This window comes from Homo sapiens, chromosome X (assembly GCF_000001405.40).
Source record: "Homo sapiens chromosome X, GRCh38.p14 Primary Assembly".
Classification (NCBI taxonomy): Eukaryota; Metazoa; Chordata; class Mammalia; order Primates; family Hominidae; genus Homo; species Homo sapiens.
In genome coordinates, this window is record NC_000023.11 from 137366436 (window position 1) to 137376374 (window position 9939).

The window sequence follows — 9939 nt, forward strand, 5'->3', positions numbered from 1 at the left end:
GTAATCGCAGACAAGCTTCCCCTTCTCCCCAGCACACTCCAGCAGCCGCCTGCTCCTGCTGTTCAGCCAGTGTGTGCTTAGTGAATGCAAATTAATATTAATATCAATCAGCCTAAGCCCAATCAGCCTCTCCTAAGTAGGGAAGTGAATCTGCATAAAATCAAATGAGATAATGTATGTGAAAGTGCTCTGAAAATTATAAAGTACTATACAAATCAAGGTATTTTTATAATAAAATCATAATGTATTATAAAATCAAATATGAATTATTTCTTAAAATGGTCTGCTATTTTAGATTAGCTGCACCATTAGCAAGTGCTCAATAAATATTTGTTCAATTGTATTGTTGAATTGAGATAATCAAGAGTTGACTGTACATGAAAACAAAGAATTCCATGAAAGATTTAACTAACTACAATAGGTTAGAGAGCATATAAAAAATGAAATTTAAAATAAGAATGACTTCAAATACAAAAGAAAATAATTTATGTTTTCATTTGAGGATAGAAGACTCTCTTGAAATTGCCTCCTTTTTAAGACAAGGTGATTACAGTTTACCTTGTTGTAAAAAAATCTTTCACCAGTTACTATACAACAAGATCTTCACTGCATTTAAATTTGAAGTAAACTATGCAATTCTAATTAAACAATTTTTATTGCTATCCAAGATGAAAAGGATGTCAGCTGATGTCAAAACACTTTGGTGGTGTAAGCCTAGTTTGTGATGAAGTTTTTTGATGTCTCATCAATTTCTGTAATCCTCCATCATTTACTAATTTATAATTTTGAAACATGCTTAAAGAGAATTCTGGTTTCTCCCAACACATACTGTTTGTAGCAATGTTAATTTTGATTTATTTAAATACAACCAGTTACTTTCAAGCTAAAATAGCATCCATGAGAAATAAAGTGTAAATACATTATTCAGGCACCAATTTTCTTTGTCTTATGGTGTGTTTGCCCACCTTTTAAAAGGAAGACTGAAGATACCTGGATAATTGACTGGAATTCATCAGTGGGTAAACAGAACCTTGTGCCTGGCATTTGGAAAAGTTGAGTAGCTTGGTCTGTAGATGAGTCTTAAGAATTTGATTCCATATGTGAATTCTGAAATTTCTGTAGATCTTGTTACTTGGAAGCTGTTAATGAAACCTGCTAACATTTGGAACGTTTAAGTTAGGCTTAAAGAAGCAAGCTAGGCAGCCTAGTGGAAAATGGTAACAACAGAAATAGATGAAAATTGCAAAACCCTTCCTGAGGCTTTATTTACTAAGCGGATAAACCAGTAGCTTACCAAACTTATGAACAAAGGAAATCCCAAGAGCAATTTCATGAACTTCTGGAAATAAATTTTCTAATAATACATTTAAGATGAATCTTGAGAAATAATGACCATGGGGAATTAATATTATACCTTCTTTTTAAGATTAAGCACACATTTTCTATACATTTCTTTGATATTAATGTACAAATAGTGTCAAACAGAAAATTTAATGCTAAGCTGAGGATCCTATTCTTTCCCAACACAGCTAGATAATCACATTAGTATATGAGTATAACCAAAGGCTTTAAAATAATTATAGGTTTCCAGTGCTACCTTGAATTACACCATTTTCATTTACAATGGAATGTTGAAAGAACTAATGTAACTCAATTATGGATACACACACACACACACACACACACACACACACATCCCAAACCAAATATCATTTGTGTTCCTGATTTGCAAATTAATGCCAAATATAATGTTAATTTTAAAATCAGTTTCCTACCAAGTCACAAAGAAATGTGGAAAGTTTAAAAGCTTGTCTCCCCTCCCAATTCCCCCAAGTTCTGGTATTGCCTGGTATGAAGAAGACATTTTATTTCTCTTTCTTATGCCAACTTATATTGCTTCAACCTTAGTAGACTACCAGAATTATGATTGCAACCAGATGACACTTCTGTTCCCTAAAGCATATGACACTTGCTTTACATATGAAAGACTGTGGCCTGCCTAAACCTGCAACCTAGAAGGAGCAAGTAGGTCAAGGAGAGGCTGTCATAGATCCCTTGTCTGGGTATGGTGGTCTCTCTGCTATTTGACAAGTGTATGGAGAACACTTTTCTACATTATGCTTCCACAAGCTTTTGATTATTCAAATCCCTCTCTTCTAAAACACTCTCTTCTCCTGGCTTTAAGGACATACTCCTGTTTCTCTGTCCCTTTTTTCTCTTCCTACTTCAACTTGTGTGTGGATGGTCCTTGAGGTTCACTCCTTGAACATCTGTCTGTTCATCTCTTTACATTCTGTTTCAAAGTTTTCACCCACTCTTATGGTTCCAACTATCACCTCTTTAAAGAGGACTTCTTTAAACTCTATCTCCAGCCCTGACTTCTGGTGTCAATGTCACTTTTCTGTCTTCAGATGCCTAGTACATGATGCAACTCAAATATCCAGCCATTATCTCTAGGCAAGTTGACGTGCCTAAAACTGGATGCCTCTTGTCCCCAGACTACTCTCTTCTGCCCAATCCTGGCTCAATTTCCATATTTCTGTCAAGGTTTGTGCTGTTCTCCTGATCTTGACATTTTGATTAAAACCCTTAAGAAAGAGCCTTATCATTTATTGAGAACTTACTCTGTATCAGAAACTATACATTATCTCATTCAATCTTTGTTTTTCTTTCCAACTTTTATTTTAGGTTCATTTAGTCTTTATAACAGTTCTATGAGATAGGTATTCCAATTATTTTACAGAAGAGGACACTGAGGTTCAGAGAAACTGTCAGTGATAATTCCAGATCCATGTAAAACCAAAGCCTGAGCACTTAACTATACTACAGGGGTCAAAAACTCAACTGCTTACAAGATTCCAGACAGGTAGTGTAAATATGTGAAGAACAAATTAAAAAAAAAATAACAGTGCAATCTGTCCCTGTTGAGGAAACAACAGGAATATTGGGTTCTGTAGTGCACCATTCAGCTCCAGCCATGAGAGAAACACTTCTTGCCAGATATTGTACCTTTTAAAGAGAAGACATATCTAGACTTTCATGGAAAATTTTCCAATTTTTAAATGTAGACAACCTACCAAATTTTCTACCTTGGTTTCATTTCCATTTTATCATAAAGCATTTCAAACATATACAGAAAAGTTGAAAGACTTTGATATTGACTGCTCATATACTCATCACCTAGATTCTACTGTTAACATTTTGCTGTTCTTGCTTTATCACATATCCATCCCTTAATCCATCTTTCAGATGCATTTCAAAGTCAGTTGCAGACATCAGGATCCTCCCCACTAAACACTTCACCACATGTATCATTTGAGTTAAGTATATTTGTTCACAGTATTTTGTTCTTGTCACTGATGTAAATTTCACAAACAATACAATTCAAAAATATTAAATATACCATTTGATGCATTTTGACAAATGTATGCACATGTATAACCCAAATGTTTATAAAGATGTAAAAACATTTCCACTACTTTTTGAGGAATGTTTCTTTGTGCCCCTTTCCAGTCAAATCCTACCTCTCTCCATCCAGAGTAACCACTGATCTGATCTGATTTTTTTTCCACCATAGATTAATTTTTATGTTCTAGAATTTTGCATACATAAAATTGGGCAGCATGTACTCATTTGTGTTAGGTTTCTTTCACTCAGCAAAATGCTGTGGAGAGTCATCCATGTTACTGAGCAAACTATCAATTTTTAAAAATTATTGAATAAACCAAAAATTAAAACCTACATTTGCAATCCAAAAGATGTCAGGACGTACCCACCGTACTGGACTTGAATGCCTGTTTTCTCTCCTCACACCCAAATGCTATAAAATTCATGTTCCTTTGAAACATCTTATCTCTCTTCCATTCACATTGCTACAATTCTCCCATCATTCTGTGATATTTGTGTTCTAGCAGGGCATTTGACAGAGGTTTGTTTGACATCCTAGAGAACAAGATCATTATATAAGGGCTGCATGGTATTTTAGTTAGCTACACCTACCACTGGTAGGGTGGCTGCAACCAGAGTGTAGATTATTGGTGCTGATACCAGGTTATTGCTGACAACCTGGAGGGGCTTCTCTATGGAAATACAAAAGAGCTGTCTTCTTCATCTTGCACTGTTCAACTTTTTTTTCACATGACAGATGAAAGTAGTCATCAAGTTTGTAAATGAAATAAAGATAGTGGAGAAAGTAAATACAGGGATGACAGAACTAAGTTTCAAAATCTTGATATGCTAAAAGGACAAGTCAAAACCAAGAAGATGAAATTGCAAGGATAAAGTGAAAGAACTGAATTTGGGTTTTAAAAAAAGTCAATTGTCAAACTACATCATGAGGAATATTTGTCCTGACGGCACTCCAAGTGGAAAATATCTCAAATATTGTATGAGTCACCAGTATTTCGATAAGAACAAAAACAAATAGACTGAAGCAAAACTAATAATGCAGTCATAGCTCACATTAATAGAAGTGTACAAGGAAATAGCTCTAATTTAATACAGTGGTTAGAGGTATGGGTCTTAGAGTCAGAAAATACTGTTTTGCTACATTAAGTTAAATATGCCTATTAGACCTCCAGCTAGAGATGTGGAATAGGTGGTTGGCTGTAAGAAATGGTCCAGCTAGAGTTACAAATTTAGGTCTTGTCAGCAAATAGATGGTATTTAGAGTCAAGGGACTAGATGAAATCAGAATAACGGTGAGTATAGAAAAAACAGAGAAGAGGTCTGTGAGTCTGCTGGGTCTGCTATAACAAAATCCCACAGACTGGGGGGCTTAGACAACAGAAATTCATGTTCTCACAGTTCTTGAGGGTGGAAGTCCAAGATCAAGGTGTTGACAGAGTTGGTTTCTTCTGAGACCACTCTCCTTGCCTTGCAGATACCCACTTTCTCTCTGTGTCCTCACATAGTCTTTCCTCTGTTCATGTGACCCTGGTGTCCCGCTGTGCACCCACATTTCCTCTTCTTATAAGGACACCAGTCAGATTGGATTAGGGCCTGTTCTAAAGGCCTCATTTTAACATAATCACCTCTTTAACAGCCCTGTGTATAAATACAATCACATTCGGAGGTACTTGGAGTTAGGGTTTCAACATATGAATTTGGCAGAACACAATTCAGCCCATAATAGTGTCCAAGAATTGAGACTTGGTCCCCCAAAATTTAGAAATCAGGCAAAGGAAAAAGAGATGTCAGCAAAAAGGACAGAAGTGGCCAAATAAAAGAGAAGCCAGGAGAACGTGAAGTTTTGGGGGCCTAAAGAAGAAAAAGGTTTCAGAAGTGGGGAGTAATCAATCATGCCAAATACTGCTGAGAGATAAAGATAAGAACTGAGAATGACCAAAGGATTTGGCAAAGATAGAGGTCATTGTAAGCCTTTGACAATAGCCATTTCAGTTGAGTGGTGGAACTGGGAGCCTGAGACAAGAGGAAGTGTGGTGAGAAAGTGAAGACAGCAACTACAGGCAACTATTCTGAAAAGTTTTTCTGTGAATAGAGAGAAACTGATGAGAGGCAAGAAATATGAAAAATGCGGGAGCGAAGTTTTTAAAAGGGGTGAGATGGTATGGGATCTATTCTTTGGGGTAAAAGAAAATATATTACCTATTGCAACAAGAAGGAAGGCAGATTAGGTGTATCTGGGTTGGTGGAACTGGTGTTGAAAGGATGAGGTAGTTCTGCTCTGATGGCTGATCTTGTTGCAATTGTATCTTTTTTCCTGCTGTAATTTCTGCCTCATACTCCCCCTCTCTAACCAAATCTTCTCTACCCATCCAGGATCAGCCTCTTTGCTTTGGAAAAAGTGCTACACCTGGAGCCAGAAAACCTGGTTTAAAGTCCTAGCTCTTCTAATTATAAGCTGCATGACTTCAAATAAGTCACTCACCTTCTCTGGCACCCATTTTTTCATCCATACACTTGGAACACAAATCTTTCTACATACAATCTATTATATATACATTATTTTAAAATGCAAAGATAAAAATGAAATATGTTCTAGTAAAGCCTACCTCCTCTAAGAAGCTTCTGCGTCCACATTAGTCTTTTCAGGACCCCTTTGGGTTTTTACTACTCATCTGCTGTCTGACACTGTCACCTAATGGTTCTCAAGTGTATTCCTATTGATTCAATCACTCAATTATACATTTTTGAAGAGCAGGAAATGACTTTTCCAAGTATTGTGTTGGGGGAGTGGGTGGGAAGAGGAATGGACTAATTTATTTAGCATCTGGTACTTGCCAGGGGATTGAGGTACCTTATCTAATTTGGTTCTTTCAACAATCTGGAGAAATAGACATTATTTTATGGGTGAATAAACTGAAGTCCGGAGAGATTCAGCAGCCTCCCCAAAGTCACACAGCTAATATGTGGTGGAACCATAATTTGAATTCTAAACTCCAAACTGACTATGCCCTCTTTTCACTACTGCATCCCACACACTCTGATGCCAGGAAATTTTGGCTGCATTTGGATTTCTTGCCAAGGCTTTAATTACTGAGAGGAAATGACACTTTGATTAGTTCATGTTTTTATAGCTATAATGTCAAACAAACAGATTCTGCTTTTCTCAGAAATTTATGATGGTACTGGTTCATGTCCAACTCTCTGAAAATTGGTTATCTTGCTACCAAGAAGACTTTTAAAAAAATTTTTTTATTTATTTATTTTGAGATGGAGTTTTGCTCTTGTTGCCCAAGCTGGAGTGCAGTAGCGCAATATCAGCTCACTGCAACCTCTGCCTCCCGGATTCAAGCGATTCTCCTGCCCCAGCCTCCTAAGTAGCTATTACAAGCATGCACTACCACGCCTGGCTAATTTTGTACTTTTAGTAGAGATGGGGTTTCACTATGTTGGACAGGCTGGTCTCAAACTCCTGACCTCAGGTGATCCACCCGCTTTGGCCTCCCAAAATGCTGGCATTACAGGCGTGAGCCACCATGCCTGGCCTAATAAGACTATTTTTATTTCATTTGCTTTTTCATAAGGAAATCAGAAATGATGATGAATCATAAACTGTTGACACTCAAAAGGGCCTCAGAGACCATCTATCCCAAGCCCTTTTTATAGATGAGGACATTGAGGCTCAGAGTGGGCAATTGGTTGACCTGTTAAGATCACACAGTGGAAAGCGGCAGAGCCAATATTGCCTCTTCTTCCCTCTCCGTCTGTCTGTCTTTCAGTCTACTCACTCCATTTTTCAAGCTAGCCCTTCATCCCTAAAGCAGCAGCCCTGACGTCTCATGGATTTTCTCAGTTTTTGCATAGAGTTTGAAGGGCAGAGCCTCAAAGCATGCCTTTCTGGGTGAATGTCTAAAGAGGCTGAGAAAAGGAGTGACAGGTAATCCAGGCAAATCCATGCTTCTGACATTTATTTGTTTTGTTTCCATATATATATATATATATAAAATTTTATGCCTCTAAGCAGTAACATTTAAGGAATATACAAACTCTTTGGAACCATGGTAACATTTACTTGTTTTAAGATTTCATCAATGAGTTTTTCTTCTCAAAACAGCCCTGAGAAATGGGCAGGCACAGGTAGATTTGAAGGTTATTTTAAATGCAGCTCTCCTTCTTGGAATATGTGAACGACTCCCCTGATCAATTGCCTTGCTTTCAAGTTTATAAATGATGCTCAGGAAACGTCTTCATGGAAGACTGAACCAAGAGGACATCTAGGTGAAGAATGGATGATGCCAAAGGGCTCACTTACTGTTTCCATTTGTCTCGGGAGATGAGCTTTTCCCTGACTGCTTTCAGCCCTTGAGTGAGGACCGATTAGTATTGGTTGAAGAGGCTTCCTTCCTTGGTTAGGACTTCCTATGGCTTTGCTGGGTCTATAACTAGGCAGTGTGTGTGGCCCGGGGGTGGGGGAGGGCGGGGCCGAGGACTTCTATAACATCGTGAACTGGCAAAATGCACACCACAGGTTTTCCAACACCATATCACGTCATAGGGTTAATTATCCCACACATTATTGTTGAAATGGAAGGATTTCGTGTCTGGAGCCAAGGACAACATATCACCCACAGATCTGCTTGGAGCCACAGTTGCCCAATGTGTGGAGAGAAAAAACCAGTAATAGTGAAAAGAGCAAATAAAAAACACTTGCAAACCTGTTTCATTCAAAGAGCCTCATAACAGAGTATATAGCTTCTTTATGTCCTTTTTAATGTGTCTTAAGTTCTTCCAAAAGGAAGGGTCCAGTGCTTGAAACCTTGGTGGTGTGAACCCAACTACCCACCAGTCATTGACTCAGCAAACAATTATCAAGTACCTCCCATATGCTATGATCTGTGCTTGGCAATGAGAGACTATAAAACAGGGGCCAGGGGACAAACAGGACGGCAAATCTGAGACAATGAATAACCATTGGATAATGAATCTGAAACCTAGCTCATTGATTGTTATTTGTGACCTGCACCAACCTTGGATAAACCCAGCAACCAAGTACTGCCTTCGGGCTTATAGGAAACTTGTATTCAAATCCATTCCAAAGAGCCTTACTCTGCCTTACTTAAATATGGACCAACATCCAAGCATCAAGAACAGCAGCACAAACACGTTTTCTTGTTTTGTAAAGATATTTTTTCTGGGCTTATTGAAAATTATTTCAAAACTCCACTTAGCTTTTTCCCAGTAATGGATGTAGCAAGTAACCAGCGCCTAAAGCATCCAGTGGACGCAAGTCTATTGAATCATTTTCTGTGCAGAGACGCTGTTCCGTGCCCCCACTATCGATCTGCTTCCATTTGCCTGAATATGCCCATTATGTAGCAGCGTACCCAGAAAGAGCTATTATAAGGGACAGAAGATTTTCTTTTCTCCTTTTTTTTCTTTTTCTTTTTAATGAATAAGCTTTGAAAGAGAAAATCAAGATGACTTCCGGTTCGACTTTTGTTTCTAGGTCTTGTTGAAGAAAGAACTTTGATTCAATTGTCTGGAACATATTTCATTTCCTTGAAGATCTTAGAGGCTGGAAGCCATAAAAAGGGCACTGGATTAGGAGTCAGGAAGCTAGGGTTATAGCCCTGACTCTGCCACTAGGTAGCTGTACAACTTAAAACTTGGCTTATCATTTCTGGACCTCAGTTTCTGCTTCTTTAGAATTAGGGAAGCAGTACAAAAGTTAAGTTAAGAGGCAGCGCTTCCACCTACCAGTTGTGTGGATTTGAGAAAGTCACTTAACCTCTCTGGGCCTCAGTTTCCTCACTTGAAAAATGGAGTGGAGATTGTGTTTTCAGAAGATTAAATAAGAAAATACATGTGGATGGTTAGTACAGTGACTGGCATAGAGTGATCAAGAAATACAAACAATTCTTAGTGTTCTGGGTTAAAAGGAATTATGATGACCTCTTTTGATTCCAAGTTTCTGTGAACCTTTAAGGTCAGTAAACATTTTAGCATCATTTTAAGTCAAAATTTTTCTCCATTTTGATTAATATAACATTTATTAACTAGCCAGAGCATGTTAAACAGTTGCTACAGGTTGATTGACAAGAAAGGTCACCAGTAGTAACTTCTTTTCTTTATTTCATAGAATTGTTTCTGATAAAAATTCTTCTTTCTGAAACTCAAAGACTAAAGAAGCAAAGATTTGATACTTTATGTTTACAGAAGAAATATCAGAAGACAGAGACCACTGATTCTCACATAAGCTTGTGCTTTAGTCCATATGAATGAAAAGAGTAAAGGATTTATTGCATTTGTCAGAAATCTAAAGGTTTTTTCTGTAATGTTTGCAAATGTAAGATTGTAGAAATATGCTTTGAACTTTGGTTATGTTTTACCAGGATTCAGTGACCAACGTGCAGTTTGGGAGACATTTATCTTCTTACATGTGTGAGACAAGAGATTGAGGCAAGCTTATGGAACTTCCTAGAAGAAAAATTATCAAAATCCTCAGCACAAACTCATTACTGTTTTCTTAAAATG